This window comes from Homo sapiens, chromosome 10 (genome assembly GCF_000001405.40).
Source record: "Homo sapiens chromosome 10, GRCh38.p14 Primary Assembly".
Classification (NCBI taxonomy): Eukaryota; Metazoa; Chordata; class Mammalia; order Primates; family Hominidae; genus Homo; species Homo sapiens.
The window spans coordinates 37,439,905-37,466,705 of NC_000010.11; the positions used below are offsets into that span (position 1 = coordinate 37,439,905).

The window sequence follows — 26,801 nt, forward strand, 5'->3', positions numbered from 1 at the left end:
TTTTCTAGCATTTGAATACTCTCTTACTTGGAGACTGCCGTTTGTTATGCAGGCCTTTGTGGGAGGGATGGTGAGATCCCCAAACGAAACAAAAGGAAGGAACAAATATCCTCTCTCCCTGTTCTTTGCTGCTTGAGTAACCTGGACTTGGCCAATCAGATGCTCCTGTCCAACACTGTGAGGTCATCTGTGGAAATTTCTAGCACTGTGAGTATCCAGGGGATGCAGCACCAACATTGGCACCCTGGCCAGACTGTCTGGTGCAGACTTGACTAGGTTCTGAGCTGCCAGGCTTTCTCTGTTTTCTGCCAATATGCTGACTATTATCCAGGCTTCCCAGAGGTTTTGTGAGCTCCCACTACCCAATATTTCATAATACATTCTATTAGCGTTCTCCAGAGAAACAGAATGAACAAATGGACAACAACAACAACAACAACAACAACAACAACACACACACGTTATTTAGTATAAGGAATTGGCTCAAGTGATTTTGGAGGCTTAGAAATTCCACCATCTGCCACTTGCAAGCTGGAGAAAAGCCACTTGCAGGCAAGCCAGTGGTGGAATTCTGAGAACCAGAGGGATGATGGTGTAAGTTCTAGTGTAGGGGCAGGAGACTGATATTCCAGTTCAAGAAGTCAGGAAAAGAGAAGAAATTCTAACTTCTGCCTTTTTGTTCTATTCAGGCCTTCAATGGATTGAAGGCCTCCTTCCCACATTGGCAAAGGCAATTTGTCTACTAATTCAAATGCTAATCTTATCCAGAAACACCCTCACAGACACACCCAGAAATAATGTTTATCCCAAAACCTGGACACCCCATGATCCAGTCAAGTTGACACGTAAAATTAACCATTCTGTATCTATTCCCACCAAGTAAGCCATAATTGGTTTTTGATACATGGAATCAGAAATTCCACTGGTACAAGTCCCTTTCAGAAATGTACAACTATGGTTGGGTGTGGTGGCTCACACCTGCAATCCCAACACTTTGGGAGGCTGAAGCAGGAGGATCACTTGAGACCAGAAGTTCCCAGCCTGGGCAACATAGCAAGGCCCCATCTCTACAAAAAGAGAAATACACAACTAGATTTTAAATATGTAATGGAATTATAAAAATTAATACAAATAATATGACAGAAATTTGTGAAACAGAAAAAACTCATCCATAATCACACCATTCTAATATGATATCACATTTGTGGTTTTAAACTTTTTTTTAACCTATAAACATTTCCATAGTTATTCTCATGCCTCACCCAGCTTCTCAAGGTGCTCACTCTGACATAGCTCTTTCACGGAAAACTCAGTGGGCCACAAGATTCTGGGGGAGCTCAGTGAGAAGTGTTTAATAATGAACCAGGATGAGATGTGCCTCACCCCTAGCCCCAGTTAGCATGTATTGAGTGAGGCATCATCTCACCTTAAGAAAAGTCCTTTTAGCAGGTAATGGAAAATTGTGTATAGATTATTCTGCTTTATTTTTATTTTTATTTTATTTATTTATTTATTTATTTATTTATTTATTTATTTATTTTTTGAGACCAAGTTTCCTTCTGTTGCCCAAGCTGGAGTGCAGTGGTGCAATCTTGGCTCACTGCAGGCTCCGCATCCCGGGTTCATGCCATTCTACTGCCTCAGCCTCCCAGGTAGCTGGGACTACAGGCGCCTGCCACCAGGCCTGGCTAATGTTTTGTATTTTTAATAGAGACGGGGGTTTCACCGTGTTAGCCAGGATCCTCTCTATCTCCTGACCTCGTGATCCGCCCACCTCGGCATCTCAAAGTGCTGGGATTACAGGAGTGAGCCACTGCACCCAGCCAGATGATTCTCCTTTTATACAAAGCTCAAAAGGTAGGGCCTTGAGAGAAGATGGATTTCTAAGGGGGAAGCTCTGTGGCAAAAGTCTGTTACAATGTGTTATAATGCTCACATTCAAGTTGGAAGGTCATATTTAAACCTAACTATGCAGATACGTATCTAATGAGCTGGGCATAGGAAGACACAGAAGAGCTTTGCAGAGTTCCCACTCTCAAAGACTTTACAAACAGCTTGGTGTGACAAGACCTGCAACATTAGGCAACTAGAGAACACAGTATGAGGCAGTGAAAGTTATGGGCGGTGAGGACTGCGTGTCTTATAGCCCCAGGAAGGGCTTCTTGGATATGGTAACACTTCAGATTTGCCTGGAAGAATGGGCAGAGTCTGGATGGATAAAGAGAAACAGGGATAGCAAGTTGAGAGGCCAATATTAGCAAACAGGATGGCAGAGAGGGAATGCTACTTTGGTGGGGGCCATCATCCAGTTCTTCTTCAGTTATATAATAATGAGAAATTGGATTTGCAGTTCTCAAACTTCATGGATCCAGGATCCCTTTACACTGTTAAAAATTACTGAACACATCAAAGATTTTTTTGTGTGTATGTGGGTAATTTTTATTGGTATTTACTGGATTTGAAGTTGAAGTAAGTAACACAGTTTTATGAAAAATAACTCCATTTTTGGAAAAAAAAATTAGCAAGAAGGCTGGTATTGTTTTTGAAAATCTTAATAGAAGACAGCTGGCTTGTTTTATTCACTTCTGCATTTAATCTGTTGCAATATGTTGTTTTGTCTGTAGGAGCTGAAGGAAATCTGACCTCACAAAGATATGTGGTTAGAAAGGGGAGACATAGTTTAACAGTACTTTCCAAATTGTTGTGAATATTCTTTGATAGTATCTATAGTATAGAATTTGGCAAGAAGCGATTTCTTAAATGTTGGTTACAATGTGGAATCTGAAAGTTTATCAATACACCTTCATATTCTGCTGTGTTATAATCCACTGGCCCATCATGCAGTGTGTGATTTTACCTGTGTGTGATTTTGTAACACCATGCATTGGCCATTTGGAAAATATTTGTTCACTGAGTTGTGCAGATCTTCCTAACCCTGACACATTTCATTAAACAGCAGCAAAAGATCACATTTAGGCCGGGTGGTGGCTCACCCCTATAATCTCAGCACTTTGCGAGGCCAAGGTGGGAGGATCACTTGAGCCCAGGAGTTTGAGACTAGCCTGAGCAACAAGCAAGAGCCCATCTTTGCAAAATTAAAATTAAAATATTAGTTGGGTGTGGTGGTGCATGCCTGTGGTCACAGAAACTCAGAAGGCTGAGGTGGGAGGATCTGCTGAACCCAGGTGGTTTGGTGATGCTGCAGTGAGCCATGAGTGCACCACTGCACTCCAGCCTAGGCAAGAGAGTGAGACCCTGTCTCAAAAAAAGTCACATTTGTTAATATCATCCCTCCTTTGTATTAGAAAAGTCTCTAAGTATTCAGAAGCTATCAAGCTGATGGTGGCAGATACAAGCTTTGCAACATTCTAATTTTCATTTGAAATCTACAAAAATTTTACATCATTGGCAGCAAGTTCTGTCAGTCATTTTCCTTGAAATGACAGGGTCATATAATTCATTTTAGAGAGAATGCCTGACAAATACTCAACTCTGAGTAGCTGTAGTTTTCTGTCAATAGTTCTTTCAAGTAAAAATGTATTTCATGAAAAAAGTAGCTAGTTTTGCTCACACTTTGAATGACTGCACAAGTACTCGACCTTCCTTGGTAGGCAGCAAAAGTGTTTTATGCATGCTTCCTGTTTAGACACACTGAATATTAGAAATTGCGCTCACATTGAGATTTAGTAATTAATGAATTTATTTCATTGTATCAAGGAAATTCTTAAGTTCTTAGGTGACATTGACTCCTCCTCCTCCTCCTCCTCCTCCTTCTCCTTCTTCTTCCTCTTCTTCTTTATTTACTGCAACCATGTGGCAGCAAAGACTACAATGAATGACCACCTGTAGTAAAGCATGTGCTGCTGCCTTGATTTTTGTGATGGTGTCACCATTCTACCCACCTTTATTTTTGCACCACCAATGCAAATGTCAACAAAATGAGAAAGAAGCAAATAATTATTTTTGTTATTATAAAACAGTTTGGCCTCATGAAGTCCCTGAAGGGGCTCTGGAGCCCTCAGGAGTCTGTGAACACACTCAGAGAACCACTGACTTAAATTCATAAACAGTCAAGGTGGGTGGATCACCTGAGGTCAGGAGTTTGAGACCAGCCTGGCTAACACGGCAAAACCCCATCTCTACTAAAAATACAAAAATTAGTCTGGTCTAGTTGTGTGTGCCTGTAATATTAGCTACTTGGGAGGCTGAGGCAGGAGAATCACTTGAACCCAGGATGTGGAGGCTGCAGTGAGCCAAGATCATACCACTGCACTTCAGCCTGGTTGATAGAGCAAGACTTCATCTCAAAAAAAAAATTACAAACAGTGCCTTCTATACTAGGCATTTTTTCTTTGATTTAAATGTATTAAATTATTTAATTCTCACAACTCTCTTTAGGACATAAGGTTAATATTCTCAGTTTACACATGAAGAAACTGAGGCTCAGAGGTTTCTCAGGTCACACAGATGTGACATAGCAGAGGCTCACTCTGGCTTTAGCCCATGGTGTACTGACCTAGCTTATGAACTCAGCTGTATCATTGCCATCTGTGTATAACTGAGGTCTAAGTGGATGCAGCCCAAGTCTCAGGTTCAGAGTGGTCCTCTGAATGGAGTGGTCCTGTGTCAGTCAACATCATGATAAGACAGAGAAAGCATTGAAAAAGCATGGACAGTGTGTAGGGAACCCTTGTAGGTTTCTAGTGCTATATGCCTTCTGCTCACCACCTTTCTCCATTCTTGTTGACTGGCACACAGGCAGTTTCCCAGGACAAGCAACAATGGGCCACCTTGCAACCCTGGGCCTGTAAAGAAAAAGATGGCTTTGTGCAGAAGGTCACCTGCAGAACCTTGGTTGTGGGATGTTGTCAGTCAGCCCGTGGCCACGTTGCAGGGTGGAACTCTGGGGATTGTATTCTCTATCTGCTATAACTTAGACATGGTTTGTTTGTCCCCACTAAATCTCATGTTGAAATTTGGAGGTGGGGCCTAATGGGAAGTGTTTGGGTCATGTGAGCAGATCCCTCATGAGTAGGTTAATGCCCTCCTTCAAGGTGAGTGAGTTCTCTATTAGTTCTCATGAAAGTTGGTTGTTAAAAAGAACCCAACATCTCCCCTCTCTTTCTTGCTTCCTCTCTTACCATATGATCTCTGCACACACTGTTTCCCTTTCACCTTCTACCATGAGTTGAAGCAGAAGCCCTCACCAGAAGCCAAGCAGATGTTGGTACCTTGCTTCTTGCACATTCTGCAGAACTGTGAGCCAAATAAACCTCTTTTCCTTATAAATTAGCCAGCCTCAGATATTCCATTAGAGCAACACAAAATGGACTAAGACAGCAACCTGTCTCCCTCCCTCTGGTCTCTGGCTGCATCTCCTGCTGGAAGCCAGGGAGCAGGGGCTAATGTCTTTGAGCTGTTCTCTGATGTTACTGATTGATACAAGTCAGCCAGAATTATGAAGGAGTTAGGTATAGGGCTAGAAGGGAAAGTAGAAGGTATCTAGCACCATGAACTTGTAAGAGTTCCTTCCTTTGATTGCCATATCTTATATTTCAACTTGAGATTAAAGTCTATACTTTATTCATACAGCTGGAGGGTGAACTGGAATTTGTTCACAACTGTGTTGTGGACATATTTCAGACATGACAATGATTTTCATTGGCCTGTCATGCCAAGTAGATCTTTTCATATAGATGTGGCTCTGGCTCCCTGCTTATAGGGTTTGGGACAGAGTTACCCTTCCATTGAGTGTGGTAACCTACTTGTTACTCCTTCCCCATCTGCAGGAATTCAACTCCTTGTATGAGGCATTGCCTCAAGATGAAGAGCTTCCAGCTCCCCACCTGGTGTCCCTAAGTGGCAGCAGAGGCTGCTGCTGTATTCCTGAGTCCTAGTTTTATGCATCCATTTGTCTCAGATCTCATCAGTCCTTCCTCTTCAATTGATTCAAGGCCTCAACCCCAAATGCTTCCTGCATTGCTCTGCAGCACCCTCCAGCCCTACTGATGCCCATCAAGTCATAGGAATCACACTTGTCCTCTATGGAGACCCAAACATTAAATAATTAAAACAATGAGAGAAGATTTGGGAAGCAAAGTCGATGCACTTTTCTGCATAGCCACAGAGCTGAGTCATCTAAGCTCTGTACAGATTCATCAATTGAAATTGTCTGTGATGGTTAATTTTCTGTGTTAACTTGGCTTGGCAATGGTGCCCAGTTGTTGTCAAATATCAGTCTACATGTTGCTGTGAAGTTATTTTTTAAACGTGATTAACATTTAAATTGGCAGACTTTGAGTAAAGCTGATTACCTTCTATAGTGTGAGTGGCCCTCACCCAATCGTTGAAGATGTTAAGAGAGAAAACTGAGATCCCTCAAAGAGGAAGGAATTCTGCCTCCAAATTGCTTTCCTTTGGGCTTGAGTTGCAACATTAACTTTTTCCTTAGTATCTGGCCTGCTGACCTGCCCTGCATATTTAGGACTTGCCAGCCCCTACAATCACATGGGCCAATTCCTTAAAATAATTATCTCTCTCTGTCTCCCTCTGTGTGTGTGTGTGTGTGTGTGTGTGTGTGTGTGTGTGTGCGCGCACGTAGGGTTTTCTTATTATGTTAAATTAATAAGTAAATTTCGATTTAAAAGAATTATCAGCTTTAATTTCTATGATGGAAAATCTTCAGATTTTCATACTGAGATTAAAACATGTTTGGGAATGTGGATGTATACCCTAAGGTGTAAATGGGGAATGTTTGTAAAGTACTCTGACATCATCTGACATGGCAGCTCCCCAGCCATGGTGGTGGTGATAGAAATATAAATGGTGACAGCAGCAGCAGTGTGATAGTCACGGTGGAGGGAGATTGCTTTTCTGCAGCCATGCTTCTGGCATCTCCCAACCTGGGTGGGACCCAGCTGAAGATCTGCAGAGAAACCAGCCATTTCTGAGAGCAAGGCAATCAGTGGGCATTTACTGGAGGGTGTCTAGGTTCTTAACATCTCACTGTTATTTGGGCTCATGGGATCATAAGAATGACAAAATAAAGAGAAGTCCTCATTTCTGACCACAAGAAGCTTGACACAATTCCAGTAAGTCTTGGATTGAAAGGAGAGACATGTTTTCATGTGTTTATATTCCCTTAACAACCAATATACCTTGACATTGAAGAGCCAAGATGTGAGTGGGAGGTAGTGCTATGGTTTGTATGCATTTCCCAAAGTTTATGTGTTGGAAACTTAATCCTCAATGCAATGGTGTTGAGAGGTGGGACTTTTAAAAAGTGATTAGGTTATGAGGGCTCTGCACTTATAATGGATTAATGCTGTTATCATGGGAGATCATGGGAATGGATTCCTAATAAAAGGATGAGCTTGGCCCCCTTTTCGTCTCTCTATTTATCTCTCTCTTTCTCTCTCCACCTCTCTTGTGTGTGCACACATTTTCTTGGGCATATGTGCCCTCTTGCCCTTCCACCTTCTTCCATGAGATGATGTAGCAAGAAGGTTCTCACCAGATGCCATCCCCTTGACCAGTCTCCAGAACTATAAGAAATAAATCTCTGTTTTCTATAAATTACCCAGTTTCAGGTATTCTATAATAGCAGCACAAAATCAACTAAGACAGTGGAGGAGTAGGAGTCTGAAATAGTTTGACATTTTAGTGGACAGTCAGAAAGTATTGTACCAAATGCAGGTGGTACAGAAAGTGAACTTCCTCAGAAAAAAAAAAAAGTAAGATACTGTTGACATCTTATAGAGCTCAGTCTCTGCCAGCATTGATGAAACCTCATGAGATCCAGATGGCTTCAAAACTGACTACAAGCAAGGTGGCTGGTGCAGTGGCCCACCTCTCCTGTAAAATAGGACAGACTCTCCCTTGCGAATAAACATACTGTTTGAAAAGTAAAGTGCAGCTTAAATCCCAATGGGAAGTTCAGTGCCAACAGCATGGTTATGGTGAATCCCATTTTAAAACAAAGTCTTTTTGGAAAGTTGCGTATTTCAGGTTGCAAGTCCGGTCCTATCACTCACTGCCTTAGTCCACCACAACTATGTTGCAGAGAGAAAGGATTCATTCATTCATTGCATATAATTTCAGAGGGTTGCTTTGTAAAACACCTGCTCTGAGCTGGAGGTGGATATAGCAAGTTGGAACACGTTGACTTATTTAGTTTCCAGTAACCCTTGGTAATGACTGCAATAAAGACAAATCCAATTAGCCTGGCCCAGAAGGGTGGCTCCTCTCATGGATGCAGATGAGCTGAGTGGGAGCTCAGAGGATTTCTTTTGCAATTAGAATTTGAGGGCAAGCGAAGTTCTGCCAAAAACCCAGCCCAGTGACCCAAACGAGGTGGTCAGCCTTCTTGGGGGCAGCTCAGCTTTCCCGTAGGCAGCTCAGCCTCTGGAGGCCCCTGACACTCTAGGCTGAATCACTTGTCCCATATGGCTTTCAGTTCTGGTTTTCAGGTAGCCTAGAAGGGAAACATGCAACAGAAGCTGTCTGGACTGTGGATCTCAAACCAGCACTGCATACTTGGCCCCTTTGTGCAGAGCCCAGGCTGCATGCTGTACATGGGATGGTGGCATGTGGGAGATTTTGTTGCACACAGATAATAAAGTGGTAAAGAATCATTCGATAGGCAGTTAGGCCAGCGAGTAGGAGTTCATAAAGTGGGAGAGGAAATTATCCATTCCTGTGGGACAAAAAATTTTGGTCCTGGAGAAAATGAATGCGACAAATTGTTCTAATTCAGGGGCTGTTCCTTCTTCTACACTAGACCAGGGGTCTTAAAAGACAGAGGCCAGGTCTTTGTCACACTTGTGTCCACAAGGCTTGGTGCATAGTAAGTTCTCTATGAATATGTGTTTGCTGAACTCAATTGGAACTTAAAAAAAATGTTTTATTTGGAAATTCAAACTTAAAGAATAGATTCAAGGAAAAGTAAAGAGAACAACTGTATATATTTGACTCAGATTCACTATTGTTTGTTGAAATTTCATTTGCACGTGCTTTTGTCTCACTTTCTCTCTTTTTCTATATTTGTAATATTATTTTTTCCTGAATCATTTGAGAGAAGGTTGCATATATCATGGTTGTTTATCCTCAAATGCTTTAGTGTGTGTGTGCTAAGAATAAACATATAACTAACCTCAGTAAATTTAACATTAACCCAGTACTTTATCTGTTCTATCACTGGTATTTCAACAGTCTTAATTATCCCAAAATATTACTTATAACTTATGTTCTCCTTCCAGTATAGTAGCTGCTCTGGGATCAGGTATTGTCAAGTCTCCTTCCACCTATTAATAGAACATTTCCATAGCCTTTCTTTGTCTTTTATGACATAGATATTTTTTACAAATACACTCATCAATTTTTCTGTACTGCAATGAGTATATATATTATAGATAAGAGTTTGACTTTTTTGCCCACTGTGCCTCAGACAGTAAATCTCTCCAAGGGCTCACTCAGTGTCTGACTTATTGTCATGGGATCTTGAATAAAATAGCATCATCTTGGACCAAGAGACCAACTTTATCACAAAGGAGATGACTCCAGGATCCACGAGTCCTACTATGCTGAATCTGCCAGAAGTTGCCTACCTGAATGCTTGAATGGTAACTTAAATGGGCAGCTAAGGGGCCAGCTTAGAGACGAAACCCTGGGAGTTTGAGGTACTCTTTTTCAAAATGCCATATTTTGAAATTGCTATTTGCTATTATATGATGCTGTGTCCTTGAGAAAGAGAATACATGGATCTGGCAACCAGGAGTGTGTGTAGGTAGAACTGGCTTCTCTCATCATATACCCCAGGGATCCAATGGGAAATGTTTTCTTCCTGTCCTTTTAACTTCAGGTTTTTTTTTTCGGGGGGTGGGGGTAGCGGTAGGGGGTTAGTGAGGATCTTCTAGCAGAGAATACCTTACAAGGATACCACTAAATCTAAAGCTCCAACTACCTCCTGGTCACTTCGGGCTCCTCCTGACACTAGTCCAGCAGGCAAAAAGGTTACTGAACTGGCAGGGGTAATTGCCACAGATTGTCATGAGGAGTTATGGCAGCTACTACATAATGGGGTAGGAAAGGTGTCTTAGTCTATTTGTATGGCTATAACAAAATACTCGAGACTGGGTAATTTATCAAGAACAGGAATTTATTTCTCACAGTTCTGGAGGCTGGAAAGTCCAAGATCAAGTTGCCAGCATTTGGTGCCTGGTGAGAACCTTCTTGCTGTGTCCTCACATGGCAGAAGGCTGAAGGGCAAGAGGGGGATGAACAATGCGTCCTTTACATGGTAGAAGAGTGGAAGAGCTTTTCTATAAGAATCATAATCTATTCATGAAGTATGACCTAACCACCTTCCCAAAAGGCCCACCTCAATTAATTGAATTAAGTCTCAACATAAATTTTGGAGGTGAAACCATTATTCAAACCATAGTGGAAGTGTGTGTCTGGAAACCAGGTGATTCATTGGGAACATACTGGTGCTTCCATACCACTGATTACTGAAAACAGGCAATGGCAACAACCACAGTCTAATAAGGGCATGGTACCCAGGACTCAGATCTCTTTAGAAACGAAGGTCTGGGTTACCCACCATGCAAGCAAACTAGAACAATAGAAATGCTGACCAAGGGTGACAGGAATCTACAATAGGTGGTGCAGGAGGAGAAGATGAGTGTCCATTAGGTTTGAGACCAACTGCAGCAATTAAGTTGTAGCTTGTCCCACTAATACTCCCAATGCAAGCCTTTTAAAAAATATTTTTAATTGTGAGTGGTCACTACCTTGAAGGACATGGTGAACTTGATGTGCAAGAGAGTGGATTTGAGCTGGCACTGTACTTATATCCTTTGGCATTCCTCTAGACACCAAACTGTATACTGTGAGCAACTGTGACTCTCTCTGCCTGAAGACATCTCTTTGTTTGGTGAGCAGACTCAGTCTACTTTCATGGAAAATCAAAAAGTGCTGGAGATTTAATAATGGCTTGGGAGCAGCTCTGGGCCCATGACAGGTGGGGAGTTGGTGAAAAACACCAACTTTCTTGCATCTCCTAGGGTACCCTTCAGCTTCACTGGCCCTCAGTGGTAACTGCACTGAATGTGGATCCTTTATTGGCTTTTTTCCATTCCCTGTATCACTTCCCTATTTTCATATCAGTATTTCCTGGGTTCACCTCTTAAATCTCCCTCTCTCAGGGTTTGCTTCTGGGAACACCCAAGCTAAGACACTTACATTAACTCCAGGCTCCAAAGTTCTAATGATTGTCCAGGTAGATTCATAAAGCTAAGGTACTTTTGCTTAATAATATTCAAAAGGACTATTAAGCAATACATCAGACTTTTTAAAAGTAATATTCATAAAGTAGAGTGCACATAGAAAAGTATACAGCTCAAAAATATTCATGAAGCAAACACTTAGCTGAAGTTATAGAATATTACTAGCATACTGGATGTTTTGGCATATGTTCAGCTTTAGAAGACACTATCAAATGGGCTTCCAAAGTGATTGTTCAAACTTACATTCTCTTCAGCAGTAGCTTTCATTTTTGAAAGATAGTTTTGTAGGGTATACAATCTTACACTGGTAATTTTTCTTTAAACTTTTAGAAGAACGCTGCTCTACTGGGTTCTTCTTTACATTGTTTCCAAAAAGAAATTTGTTATCCTTATCTTTGTCCCTGTGTATGTGATATATGTTTTTCCTCTCCTGGTTGGCTTCAAAATATTCCCTTTATCAGTGATATTGAGCATTTTGATTATAATGTGCCTTGGTGTAGTTTTCTTCATGTTTCTAACGCCTATGGAAATGAAGTTCTTGGAATAGACTTTTGAGACTTGGAGAAACTTTCACTTTGCAGGTTCCAAGGATTTGCTTCAAATCCTTGCCAATATGTGATATGATATAGTTTGCTTTTTTGTTTTAGCCATTCTGGCAGGTGTGTAGTGGTTTCACATTGTAGCTTTTATTTTATTTTATTTTATTTTATTTTATTTTATTTTATTTTATTTTATTATTTTATTATTTCATTTTATTTTATTTTTATTTTATTTTGAAACGGAGTCTCGCTCTGTCACCCAGGCTGGAGTGCAGTGGTGCGATCTCAGCTCACTGCAAGCTCCGCCTCCTGGGTTCACGACATTCTGCTGTCTCAGCCTCCTGAGTAGCTGGGACTACAGGCACCCGCCACCACGCCCAGCTAATTTTTTTGTTTTTGTATTTTTAACAGAGACGGGGTTTCACCATGTTAGCCAGGACGGTCTTGATCTCCTGACCTCGCAATCCACCCACCTAGGCCTCCCAAAGTTCTGGGATTACACCGCACCTGGCCCCACATTATAGCTTTAATTTGCATTTTCCTGGTAAACAGTGATGATGAACACTTTCAATCTCTTTACTAGCATTTGGCAATCCTCTTTTGTGAAGTGTTGGTTCCAGTCTTTTGCCAGTTTTTCTATTGGGTTGTCTTTTTCTTATCAATTAGTAGGACTTCTTGATATTGTCTGCATATAAATTATGTATCAGATATATGTGTTGCAAATACCTTCTCCCATTCTGTGAATTCTCTTTTTGTCTCTTCATAGTGACTTTTGATAAACAGAATTTCTTTATTTTAATATGGTAGAATTTATCAATTTTCACTTGTAAGTTCAGCTTTGTGGGTGTGTTTCCTATTTAAGAAACCTCTGCCTACTCCAAAGTCATGAGGATGTTCTTATATGACTGTATATGTAAAACTCTGCGTGGGTCTTCTATTCCACTGGTTGTTTTGGTCATTTTTGTGTCTATTCTATTCTTATATTACATTAGTAATATATAGCATATATTACCAATACCATAGCTTTAAAATAGGACTTGACAAAGCTTGGAAGTTCTCCAGTTTGATCCATCTTCTTCAAGGTGACCTTTGCTCTTCTTGGCCTCTGAACTTCAGTGAAAATTTTAGAATCTGTCCATTTCTTTTTTTAAAAAAACAACTTTTGGTATTTTGACTGGGATTACATTAAATCTATAGATTCATTAGGGGAAAAATTGATATGTTTATAATATCATGTCCTATAATTCACAACATGCTATAGACCATGATCATTTTAGGATTTTCTTATTTTCTCTCAATAATATATTTTTTTATTTTTAACTAGTTTCAAGGAGTTCTTGCACACTATGGGGCTGTTGAAAGCTCTGAGTTATTTCAAAGGGAACAAAAAGATTAGTTGAGAAGCTGAACACATTCCACTGAGTGATAGTTAAACTATTTTCAATTAATTCAGGAACCACCAAACTACATAGCTATAACCACAGTAAGACTCTGGAGTGCACTTCATTTTTTTCTCATGAAGGAAAAAGGACTGCTGTGGGTTGAATTGTATCCTTCAGAAACATGTCCTGAAGTCCAAATCCTGTTTACCTATGAATGTTACCTTTATAGATGTAATCAAGATGAAGTCATATCAGAGTAAGGAGGGCCTTAATCCAGCATGACTGGTGTCCTCGTAAGAAGAGGAGAAGAGGCACAGACACACACACAGGGAAAGTGCCATGCAACAATAGCAGCAGAGAAGGAAGTTATTTTGCCACAAGCCAAGGAGCACCAAAGCTTGCCGACAACCATCAGAAGCAAGGAGATTTCTTCTCCAGAGCCTCCAGGAGGATCCAACACTACCAACCCCTCAATTTCAGACTTCCATCCTCCTGAACTGTGAGAGAATAAATTTCTGGTTTGTTTGTTCGTTTGCGATGGAGTCTCGCTCTTTCGCCCAGGCGGGAGTGCAATGGCGTGACCTCGGCTCACTGCAACCTCTGCCTCTGGGGTTCAAGCAATTCTCTTGCCTCAGCCTACCAAGTAGCTGGGATTACAAGCATGTGCCACCACACCCAGCTAATTTTTTGTATTTTTAGTAGAAATGGAGTTTCACCGTGTTAGGCAGGATGGCGTCGATCTCCTGACCTCATGATTTGTTTGCCTCTGCCTCCCAAAGTGGTGGGATTACAGGCGTAAGCCACCGCACCTGGCCAAATTTCTGTTTTTTTAAACTGCCCAGTCTGTTGTACTTCATTACAGCAACCATGAGAAACTAACACATATGATGTGGAGCTCTTGGGTCTTTTCTTGTCTCCTGTTTCTCTTTAGGTCCTGTTCTATAATTCCCATGTCACTTATCACAATGTGTGATTTCATGACTCAGGAAAATGTCCTGAGAATTTGGCTTGGGATTTGCTCTTCTACTCCTCCCAAATATTTTTTTGTAAGCCACTTGCAATCTGATGTCAAATTTCTTTCTGCTTAAACTAGTTAGAAATGTTTGTTTTCTGCAACTGAGACTGATACCCTAGCCACCATGCCCCACCCTTAACATATATGTAAATCCTGGGAGACTGGGGACCATCGCTGCTTCTGCCACAGGATAAACACAACCCAGGAAACTCCTGACTGCAGAGCCATCCTGCCTCTGCCATGATCTGAGCCAGCACCGTGGATGCTCCCCACCTCCCATCTCCCCTTGTAACTAGCACGGCATTTATGTCTGTCATGCATGCACTGAATTGGTTGAACCTAAATCATATGCAGGACTCTAGATGCAGGAGAGTCTGAGGAATGATGTCGTTTTTGACATTTGGGTCTCTGTAATAGAGCAAGGCACACAAAGAAGCTGGATTGGATGCCAAGTCAGCCAGCCTTAGCATCTGCCAGAGGTGGGAGGACATTTCTCTCCTGCCCTGGCCTTTGTCTAGAGGAGAAAACCCTCCAGGTGAATTTAGACATCCTCATTTCTTTAGAGTTCATAGTTTCTACTTTTGGCATACCGTTAGGTTCTGCCTCCCTCTCCCTCTTTGTCATCTAGCAGTTTTGGAGTTTGAGATTTAACTCTTTCATGCTCTTTTCTTTGTGAAGCCTTGCTCTGTTGTCCAGGCTGGAGTACAGTGGTGCGATCTGGACTCACTGCAACCTCAGCCTCCCAAGTTCAAGCAATTCTCCTGGCTCAGGCTTCTGAGTAGCTGGGACTACTCGGAAAAAGCACGCAGCACCTTTAATGCTCTTTCCTCAGATACTTGCCAACAATAGGCACTAGTCTAATCTTGTCTTTTATCTGATACATTTTTCTGGTTTTGATATAAACTGGTGTTTTTACAGCACTAACAACTAGATCAGTGTGTACAGAGTAACCTAGAATTGGTTTTCAGTTCCAGGAGAGAATGTAGCAAGAGCTCTGTGCCCCAGGATATGCTGGTGTAAAACAGAAAGCTGTGGTGTGTATTAGCATTGATTTCTCCTTTTGTGCTCTAAAGACAAGTTTCTTAATTGGATAGGGTCTGGGCTTAATGAGGCCGTCAGCCACATTTTACTCATATACCGGCCTCTCGACTCTGCAGCTGTCTTATTTCCTGCTGCCCATTTTTCTCCTTGCTTTCTTCAGGCCTCAACGCTCCTGTTCTTTATCCCTTCCTTCTTCCTCTCCAAACCAGTCTTCAGGAAAAGATCTGGTATCAGCCATTCCCACCTTGACAGAAACTGGAATCAATGAGTGCATTCTTCCAGTTGTTTGCATTTATTTATTTATTTTTGTTTATTTGTTTGAGATGGAGTCTCTGTTACCTAGACTGGAGTGCGGTGGTGGGGTCTTGGCTCACTGCAACCTTTGCCTCTGAGGTTCAAGTGACTCTCCTCCTGCCCTCCCAAGTAGCTGAGATTATACGTGTGTACCACCACGCGTGGCTAATTTTTTTTGTATTTTTAGTAGAGATGGGGTTTCACCATATTGGCCAGGCTGGTCTTGAACTCCTGACCTCAAGTAATCCATCCTCCTTGGCCTCTCAAAGTGCTGGGATTATGGCCGTGAGCCACCGCGCCTGGACAAAAGCATTGTTCTTAATGGAAAAAATATATCAACTGAAGGGTTTTGTTTTTTTTAAAAAACAACTCCTATATGTCAACCACATTAAACCTGGCTACATAGCATTATGATACTCCTGACTACCTGGGGAAGCTCAACTTTCCACATAGACCATTACCAAAGTTGGCACTGAGCAGAAAACAGGAGATAGTGTCCATGTGGGAAGGGTGTGTGATTCTCCTTGTCAAGGGTTTCAGGATCATTCTTCAGTATGCACCTGTGGTACTGAAACCAGTCCAAGAGTCCCAGAAACAGTTGTTTTTGGATAAACATTGAAATGGACCCTTCTGTTATTAAAGCTTGAAACTTGTATTTTTTTTATCTGAGTTCCTTCCTCAGGAAAGGACCTTCAGTCCTCTAAAAACAGGTATCAGCCAGGCCCGGTGGCTCATGCCTGTAATCCTAGCACTTTGGGAGGCTGAGGTGGGCAGATCACGAGGTTAGGAGTTCGAGACCAGCCTGACCAACATGGAGAAACTCCATCTCTACTAAAAATACAAAAATTAGCTTGGCATGGTAGTGTGCGCCTATAATCCCAGCTACTCAGGAGGCTGAGGCAGGAGAATTGCTTGAACCCAGGAGGCGGAGGTTACAGTGAGCAGAGCCGAGATTGCGCCATTGCACTCCAGCGTAGGCAACAGAGCGGAGACTCCGTCTCAAAAAAAAAAAAAAAGTATCAAAGAACTGAAACTCATGGGTTCAGGGTAGCAGATGCCTCTGTGCCTTTCCCTAGTTCCTGTTTTCTTACACATTGTTACATTTCTTCCCTGCTATATTAAAGCCTGGTTTTAGTCAGGGAGATGGATTTGAGACTGAGCACCCATGTGCTTGGTTGCAGCACCCTATTAAAGCCTTCTTCCTTGGCAATAGTTGAAATCTCAGTGAATGGCTTTCTGTGCAGCAAGCAGCAGTACCTGGATGGAAACTGTGGTGTCTCTAGTAACAGTATACTGGTCAACCAGGTCTCTCTGGGAAAAAATAGCTGACATTTGTAGCATTTGTTGATATTCATGGTATAAATACATGTAGCAGATTTCAAGCTACCAATAGTGTAACAACTGGTTCATAGTACTCCTGTTTATCAGCCAGACAGGATGGCTTATGCCTGTAATCCCAGCTCTTTGGGAGGCCAAGCATGGTGGTGGTGTAATTCCAACTACTTGGGAGGCTGAGGCAGGAGAATCACCTGAACCCTGGAGAGGGAGGTTGCAGTGAGCCAAGGTTGTGCTACTGCACTTCAGCCTGGGTGACAGAGCAGAGACTCCATCTCAAAAAAAAAGTATTTCTGTTTACCAATCAGTTCGTTCACTGAGAAAGTCTTAGGGGTTTATTTTACAATAGAATGTTCTTTAAAGATGGTATTTAGGGATCACACCCATCTCACCTGTTTATTATAACAGACATGACTAGAGGCATTGCTTCTCAATATTACATATGTGTTAGGAGCTGTATGAAATCATTATTGATCATGGTGGCCAATGGCTAATATGTCTTGAAATTTAAGCCTACTTTTTTTTGAGACAGAGTCTTGCTCTGTCGCCCAGGCTGGAGTGCAGTGGCATGATCTCGGCTCACTGCAAGCTCTGCCTCCTGGGTTCATGCCATTTTCCTGCCTCAGCCTCCCAAATAGCCGAGACTACCGGTGCCCGCCACCACGACTGGCTAATTTTTTTCGTATTTTTAGTAAAGACAGGGTTTCACCACGTTAGCCAGGATGGTCTCGATCTCCAGACCTCGTGATCCGCCTGCCTAGGCCTCCCAACGTGCTGGGATTACAGGCGTGAGCCGCTGCACCCAGCCCTTTTTTTTTTTTTTTTTTTAATTGAGACAGGGTCTTGCTTTGTAACCCAGGCTGGAATGCAGTGGCACGACCTAGCTCACAGCAGCCTTGAACTCCTGGGCTCAAGCAATCCTCCTGAGTTGCTTGGACTCCAGACACATGCTGCCATGCCTGGTTAATTTTTAAATTTTTCCTTTTGACAGAGACAAGGTCTCACTGTGTTGCCCAGGCTCTCTTGTATACTGTATGGTGCATGACATTTGACTGTAATTTGATGCTCATTGAGGCAGGCTCATAATTCGTTGTTTAGAAAAATTTGGATCCTGCAACTTTGGGAATGGTGGCCTTTCTTTGAAAAAGAGAGTCTGGGCCTGGTCCAGTGGTTCATGCCTGTAATCCCAACACTTTGGGAGGCCAAGTCAGGCAGATCATCTGAGGTCAGGAGTTCAAGACCAGCCTGGCCAACATGGTGAAACCTGTCTCTACTAAAAATACAAAAATTAGCTGGGCATGGTGATGCATGCCTGTAATCCCAGCTACTCGGGTGGCTGAGGCAGGAGAATCACTTGAACCCAGAAGGCAGAGGTAGCAGTGAGCCAAGATCATGCCATTGCACTCCAGCCTGGGTGGCAGAGTGAAATTCTGTCTCAAAACAAAAACAAGAGGCTGTGTGTGGTGGCTCACACCTATAATCCCAGTACTTTGGGAGGCCAAGGTGGGCAGATCACGAGGTTAAGAGATCGAGATCATCCTGGCTAACATGATGAAACTCTGTCTGTACTAAGAATACAAAAATTAGCGGGGCGTGGTAGCACACGACTGTAGTTCCAGCTACTCCGGAGGCTGAGGAAGGAGAATAGCTTGAACAAAGGAGGCGGAGGTTGCAGTGAGCCGAGATTGTGCCACTGCACTGCAGCCTGGCACAGAGCAAGACTCTGTCTCAAAACAAAAAAAAAAAAAAAGAAAAAGAGAGTCTGTGTGAGACCCCTTAATTTTACAACAGTCTGTCAATTCCTGTAGCTAGCTTCAGGTATCTAAAGCATAGGGAACTCTATCTGGCAGTGCAGACAATAAAAAAGAAAATGTCGGCTGGGTGCGGTGGCTCACAACTGTAATCTCATCACTTTGGGAGGATGAGACGGGCCGATCATGAGGTCAGGAGATTGAGACCATCCTGTCTAACATGGTGAAACCCTATCTCTACTAAAAATACAAAAAAGTTAGCCAGGCATGGTGGCACACACCTATAGTCTCAGCTACTCGGGAGGTTGAGGCAGGAGAATCACTTGAACCTGGGAGGTAGAGCTGATATTACGCCACTGCACTCTAGCCTGGGTAACAGAGCAAGATACCATCTCAAAAAAAACCACAATAAAAACACAAAAAATGCATATGGGGCCATACACAGTTATTCTTTTCTACATCATGATGTCTTGAAGTTTAGTGGGCATCAAAATCACCAAGTTTCAAAAATACAGATTTATGTCCTCTCCTCCCAATATTCTGATCCAAAAGGTCTGGGTTGGCTCTAGAATCCATATTTTATAATAATGCAGCTGAATCTGATGCAGAGGCTCAGGGAACACTTGGAGAGGCCCTGGTCTAGATCTTCTGAGTCCTACCCTTACATGAAGATTGGTCAACAGATATGAATACATTCAGACCTGTAGAATCAACCCTGCTCGGGCGCGGTGCCTCACGCCTATAATCCCAGCACTTTGGGAGGCCAAGGTGGGCAGATCACCTGAGGTCGGGAATTTGAGACCAGCCTGACCAACATGGTGAAACCCCGTCTCTATTAAAAATACAAAATTTAGCTGGGTGTGGTGTCGGGTGCCTGTAATCCCAGCTACTCGGAAGCTGAGGTAGGAGAATCGCTTCAACCCTGGAGGCGGAGGTTGTGGTGAGCCGAGATCTCACCATTGTTGCCTGAGCAACAAGAATGAAACTCCGTCTCAAAAAAAAAAAAGAGTCACCCTGGCTCAGCCGCAAGTCATTAGTCTCCCTGCTTGGTTTTTATCAAAGGCCCAAACAAGAAACAGCTATATAAGGAAATGTGTTTTCACTCATTTTGATTTAATAATAAATTCCTTTTAGAATTTTAGCGTGAAAAAGCTATTATCTGAAAAGAGAGTCATCACATTTTTTTCCCTTAGTCCCTATGATGCTCAAAATAAGCTAAATGTAGTGTTCAATAAAAATCTTTTCCCACCCCTGGTTCTTGGCATAATTATGACTGCCTTTTTCTCCATAGTTTCTGATGCCTCAGCTTTTATTTTAAAGTACCTTAAATCCTTTTTGGAAATGCACAATGTGTAACAAAGCAAAAAATAGATAAAACACAGAGAAATCTGTTACGTATCATTACACTAACAAGAGACTATCTCTTGGTCCATCCAAAGTTGTGGACTAGTAGGGACTTTAAAGCACAGTTTTACCATACCATTTCTTCTGCCCTTTAACATCAAATTCCCCTTTCTGCTACCTTCATTAGCATAGGACTGACCAGACCATCAGTAAACAATAAGCAATGTTCTCAGCTCACTGCAATCCCCACCTCCTGGGTTTAAGTGATTCTCCTGCCTCAGCCTCCCAAATAGCTGGAATTACAGGCACCCGCCACCACACCCGGCTAATTTTTGTATTTTTAGTAGAGACGGGGTTTTACTATGTGGGCCAAGCTGGTCTTGAACTCCTGACCTGAAGTGATCTGCCCGCCTTGGCCTACCAAAGTGCTGGGATTGCAGGTGTGAGTCACTGACCCCAGCCAAGTTTTTTTTTTGTTTTGTTTTGTTTTTTGAAATGGAATTTCATTCTTGTTGCCCGGACTGGAGTGCAATGGCTTGATCTCAGCTAACCGTCACCTCCGCCTCTCGACTTCAAGCGATTCTCCTGCCTCAGCATCCCGAGTAGCTGGGTTGATAGGCGCACACCACCACGCCCGGCTAATTTTGTATTGTTAGTAGAGACAGGGTTTCTCCATGTTGGTCAGGCTGATCTCGACCTCCCGACCTCAGGTGATCTGCCCGCCTCAGCCTCCCAAAGTTCTGGGATTGCAGGTGTGAGCCACTGCTCTCATCTGTTCTTTCTTCCACTTGTCCCCACTCCCTGGAATGTTGCAATTCCAACCCTGCAGCTACAGAGTTCTCAGGTATCTATGAAGCCCCTTTCAGGAGGTCGTCACGGCCAGGCGCAGTGGCTCATGCCTTTAATCTCAACACCTTGAAAGGCTGAGGTGGGAAGGATGTCTTAAGGCCAGGAGTTTAAGACCAGCCCTGGCAACATAGCAAGACCATATTGCTACCAAAAAATAAAAATAAACATTAGCTGGGGCCGGGCGCGGTGGCTCACGCTTGTAATCCCAGCACTTTGGGAGGCTGAGGTGGACAGATCACCTGAGGTCGGGAGGTCGGGACCAGCCTGACCAACATGGAGAAACCCTGTCTCTACTAAAAATACAAAAAATTAGCTGGGTGTGGTGGCACATGCCTGTAATCCCAGCTACTCGGAAGGCTGAGGCAGGAGAATCATTTGAAACTGGGAGGCAGAGGTTGCAGAGGGCCGAGATCGTGCCATTGCACTCCAGCCTGGGCAACAAGAGTGAAACTCCGACTCAAAAAAAAAAAAAAAAAATTAGCTGGGCATGGCAGTGTGCACCTGTGGTCACAGCTATTGAGGCTGAGGTGGGAGGATTGCTGGAGCCCAAGAAGTCTTTTTGTTTTGTTTTGTTTTTTGAGATGGAGTCTTGCTCTGTCACCCAGGCTGGAGTGCAGTGGCATGATCTTGGCTCACTGCAAGCTCTGCCTCCCGGGTTCACACCATTCTCCTGCCTCAGCCTCCAGAGTAGCCGGGACTACAGGCACCCGCCACCACGCCTGGCTAATTTTTTGTATTTTTAGTAGAGATGGGGTTTCACTGTGTTAGCCGGGATGGTCTCCATCTCCTGACCTGGTGATCCTCCCTCCTCAGCCTCCCAAAGGGTTGGGATTACAGGCGTGAGCCACCGTACCCAGCCAGAGCCCAAGAAGTTGAGGCTGCAGTGAGCTATGATTGTGCCACTGCACCCCAGCCTGGGTGACAGAATGAGACCCCGTCTCAAAAAAAATAAAAATAAAAGCGGTAATCACTTCTCCCATGCATTCCCATTGAGCTTGGCATACACTCATATTATGGAACCTATCAAAATTTCACTTTATTTTCCCATCAGCCTCCCCAATCTTAATCAGGGGCTCTGTATCTTTCAACCTCTTAGCATACACTTATTTTATACAGTAGGTGTCTCTTATTAGCTGTAAGGAATTGATAATATGAAACTTAGAGCTTCAAATGAAAGCCCCTATGTGAGGAAGCATAAGAGAGGCCGGCTAAGGAATTTACTGTGATTTAACTCCAAAGTCTCCAAGCAGAACATGTTTTTCACTGTCCGTGAATGCGTCTGTGCTAACATACTGAAGGACTGAGAGGACTAACATACTGAAGGACTGTGGGCACCAGGAAGAATGTGCCCCCCACTGCTGACACCTCCTTCCAGACATTTCTGCACTTCTGAAGGAACAGTGCATATTTCCTATTTGAAAAGCCCAAATCTGTAGCATCTTAAATGTAGTCTGCATCAGACTTCCTTTAAGTGGCACTTGGATTTCAGAGAGGGTTTGCATTGAGTGGAAACCCCAGGAGGACGCTAAGAGCTTTGGAAAGGTTGACATGGAACCAGTTATTTGCAGCATGAAGAGCTTCTGTGTAAGAAGGCTGGAGGAAGCTGGTAAGAAAGGAAACCATCTCACCTCAGTTTCATCTCAGACAACTGGGCATCTTTCAGATCCATAGCTGACCCTCAGGAGTGGAGAGGAGAAGCTATTCCAACAGTGTTCTAGGCATTTCCATAATCACCCCCAACCTCATGACAAAGAAGCCTGGCTAAACCCACCCCTGGAAACAAGCCCTTGGGATTACTTGTTTCCTGTGAAATCTCCAACACTTAGCATGGTGCCTAGCCCATCATAGGTGCCCAATAATTGTTGAGTAGATAAATGAATGAAAGACAACCAAACAAAATGGCCAATAGAGCCATTTGGTCAAACTGCTTTAAGGATCAAATCAATCATAATTTTAGGCCAAATAAGCCTCTTGCTTGTGTTTGTTTTAGTTTAGTTTGGTTTTTTTCGAGACAGAGTCTCGCTCTGTCACTCAGGCTAGAGTGCAGTGGCGCAACCTCGGCTCACTGCAACTTCTGCTTCCCGAGTTCAAGCAATTCTCCTGCCTCAGCCTCCCAAGTAGCTGGGATTATAGGCACACACCACCACACCTGGCTAACTTTTGTATTTTTAGTAGAGATGGGGTTTCACCATGTTGGTCAGGCTGGTCTTTAATACCTCACCTCATGATCCACCTGCCTCGGCCTCCCAAAGTGCTGGGATTATAGACATGAGCCACCGCACCCAGCCGCCTCCTGCTTGTTTTATTATGAAGACTAATTCAAGGTTTGATTAGGTCATGTGCTATTTTACTGTATTTATTTGAATAGTTTGGGTCCCAAGCACAGAATTTAGATCTTGAGGGCAGGGATTATACCTTATTTTGCCCTCCTCTTCATTCAAATGCCTGCTGATGATTCTATCAGGTAATTAGATAGAGTAATCTTGAGAGGTCAAATATTTAAATCCAATTTTTCTTTAGTAAATGATCTTTCTCCATTAATTATATTTAACACAGAGTATTTTGCCAATAGAAATAATCTCAAGTGGCCTGGTACAGTGGTTTATACCTATAATCTCAGCACTTTGGGAGGCCGAGTCGGGTGGATAATCTGAGGTTGGGAGTTTGAGACCAGCCTGACCAACACGGAGAAACCCTGTCTACTAAAAATATAAAAAAATTAGCCAGACTTGGTGGTGCATGCCTGTAATCCCAGCTATTCAGGAGGCTGAGGCAGGAGAATCACTTGAACTCAGGAGGTGGAGGTTGCAGTGAGCTGAGATTGTGCCACTGCACTCCAGCCTGGGTGACAGAGGGAGATCCCATCTCAAAAAAAAAAAAAAAGAAAAGAAAAAAGAAAGAAAGAATCTCAAGTGAACTGAGTGCATTGTTGATGTGACCTTTACAACTGAAAAAAAAAGGGCTTCTGTTAGTATTACACACAGAACTTTCAGTGCACTTACGCCTGCAAAACCAATTGTAGTTTTTGTAAGATGCATCTAAGAATGAGAATTTCTCATTAAAAAGGAAAAAAATCAGCCAGGCGCGGTGGTTTATGCCTGTAATCCCAACACTTTGGGAGGCCAAGGTGGGTGGATCACCAGGGGTCAGGAGTTGCCAGCCTGGCCAATACAGTGAAACCCTGTCTCTACTAAAAATACAAAAATTAGCTGGGCGTGGTGGTACATACCTGTAATTCCAGCTACTTGGGAGGCTGAGGCTGGAGAATCGCTTGAACCTGAGAGGCAGAGGTTGCAGTGAGCTGAGGTCGCACCATTGCACTCCAGCCTGAAAGACAAGAGCGAGACTCCATCTCAAAAAAAAAAAAAAAAAAAAAAAGGAAAACATCATGCAAGAGGTAGCAGTTTCCTTGTCTAGGACATAGTAATCCGCCTTGAGAAAATTCTCCAGTTTGTGAGGGTAAATTCTGATTGAATGCCAGGGGATTCCCCTGATACATGTTCTTATAATATTAAGTAGGAAAAAGTTTCCTGACTTGACTTTAATTTGATTCTCAAGAATTTAAAGATGTTTTCTTTGCAACCACGGCAATGAACAAAACTGGAAACTATGAAAAGACAAAATGAAACCATGAGAAGGATAGTCTTATATCCATGTAGAGCGAAATAATATATTTTTGTCAAAATTTGAATCACTTCTGGCCAGGTGCAGTGGCTCATGCCTGTAATCCTAGCACTTTGGGAGGCTGAGGCAGGTGGATCACTTGAGGTCAGGGGTTCTAGACCAGCCTGGCCAACATGGTGAAACCCTGTCTCTACTAAAGATACAAAAATTCGGAGGGCATGGTGGCACACACCTGTAATCCCAGCTACCTGGGAGGCTGAGGCAGGAGAATTGCTTGAACCCAGGAGACGGAGGTTGCAGTGAGCGGAGATTGTGCCACTGCACTCTGCACTCCAGCCTGGGTGACAGAGGGAGACTCTGTCTCAAAAAAAAAAAAAAAATCATTTCAGAATCTGTAGTTTTGCAACCTCCACCCTCAAAACAAAGCCTTGGACTTTGGGAAAACTTGACTACAGATGACAGCTCTGTGCCTCTAAGCAGAACTTTAGTTTAGCTTTCTCAGATGAGTCGTTTTACTCAGTGAAGTAGATTCCACCCCTGTCCCAGGGTGAAAATGTTTCAGTGAATTGCAGTGTTTACAGCCAACAGGTTCTTCCTAATACCCCATGTTCTGGGTCCTTAGTAGATGTTCAATAAATATTTGCCCACTTAGGTAAACCAGATGTCCTGTGTGAGACCCCAAAACTAGGATTTCTGCCTTCTGGACTTTTTTGGTCTTCAATCAGTTGTTGATACATTTAGTCCTCAATAATTGGCTGCTTCACTGCCTTTATCCCCATTGTCTTCTGTGATCAGCTAGATTAATGCTTTCTTGCTGACATTAAACCTCCTGGGAGAAGCTGAGGCTGGTGCTTCCACTTCCCTATAGATGATGGAACTTTTCCTCCACCCTCAGATGGTCTTGCCCGTCACTCCACCCGAACCCCATTCAACTTTGCTTGACCGAATTTTCCAGCCGGGCTTGCTTAAAAGTCATAGGCCGGATGCAGTGGCTCATGGCTGTATTCCCAGCACTTTGGGAGGCCAAGGCGGGTGGATCACTTTAGGTCAGGAGTTCAAGACAAGCCTGGCCAGTGTGGTGAAACCCCATTTCTACTAAAACTACAAAAATTAGCTAGGCGTGGTGGTGGGTGTCTGTGATTCTAGCTCCTTGGGAGGCTGAGGCAGGAGAACCATTTGAATCCAGGAGGCAGAAGTTGCAGTGAGCAAAGATCATGCCACTACACTCCAGCCTGGGTGACAGAGCCAGACTCCATCTCAGAAAATAGTAATAAAAGTCATGGTAAACACCCACAGGCAGCAGCAGGCACCCCTTTCCTCCTCTCCAGTACTCAGCATTTACCCAGTTTTTTGTTTTTGTTTTTGTTTTGTTTGAGACGGAGTCTCACTCTATCACCCAGGCTGTAGTGCAGTGGCATGATCTTGGCTCACTGCAACCTCCGCATCCTGGGTTGAAGTGATTCTCCTGCCTCAGCCTCTTGAGTTGCTGGGATTACAGGCGTGTGCCAACCAAGCCTAGTTAATTTTGTATTTTTAGTAGAATAGGGCTTTCACCATGTTGACCAGGCTGGTCTCGAACTCCTGACCTTGTTATCTGCCTGCCATGGCCTCCCAAAGTGCTGGGATTACAGGTGTGAGCCACCTTACCCCACCCTAAGAGATTTTGCATTGCCTCTTAGGATAGCAATAATTGATGCTAGTCCCCCAAAAATCTCCTGTGCAATGGAAACTCCTTTCTTTCTGAATTGTCTTCATCAGTAAGAGCAGACATCAATTTTCACAAACAATAGAAATGCCAGTGTCAATTTCCCTCCTAGGGCACCCAGGTTAGCCCACTATGCCCTCTTCATAGCTTTCACTGCTTTGGGTATGGAAATGGATCCAGGAACTCATGAGATAAGAGTGGCAGTGTGCAGAGAATGTTCTAGTCAAGAAGAGGACAATTGATGCCCCTTCACGGGAGATGTTGCCTAATTGCTCTAAGAAGTTGGGATTTTGGCCAGGCGCAGTGGCTCATGCATGTAATTCCAGCAGTTTGGGAGGCTGAGGTGGGCGGATCACAAGGTCAGGAGATCGAGACCATCCTGACCAACATGTTGAAACACGGTCTCTACTAAAAATAGAAAAATTAGCTGGGTGTGGTGGCATGTGCCTGTAATCCCAGCTACTCGGGAGGCTGACGCATGATAGTCGCTTGAACCCAGGATGCGAAGGTGCAGTGAGCCGAGATCACACCACTGGACTCCAGCCTGGTGACAGAATGAGACTCTCTCTCAAAAAAAAAAAAAGAGAGAGAGAGAAGTTGGGATTTCTTGGGGAGTCAAAATGAGACAAGGATGATC

The 26,801-nt window shown here is 43.2% G+C and overlaps 1 pseudogene, besides 1 other annotated feature; it reads right to left on the bottom strand.

Moving 5' to 3' along the window:
* Positions 1-15,425: 15,425 nt before the first annotated feature.
* On the bottom strand, positions 15,426-23,682 carry LOC124902529 (protein GVQW1-like; annotated as a pseudogene).
* Positions 20,393-20,573: a silencer, noted in NCBI's record as "fragment chr10:37749225-37749405 (GRCh37/hg19 assembly coordinates)". NCBI's record gives its function as "represses an EF-1alpha promoter that drives an FKBP-Casp9 reporter gene in an ReSE screen in K562 erythroleukemia cells {active_cell/tissue: K562}" and the evidence as "EXISTENCE:reporter gene assay evidence [ECO:0000049][PMID:32094911]".
* Positions 23,683-26,801: the final 3,119 nt, after the last annotated feature.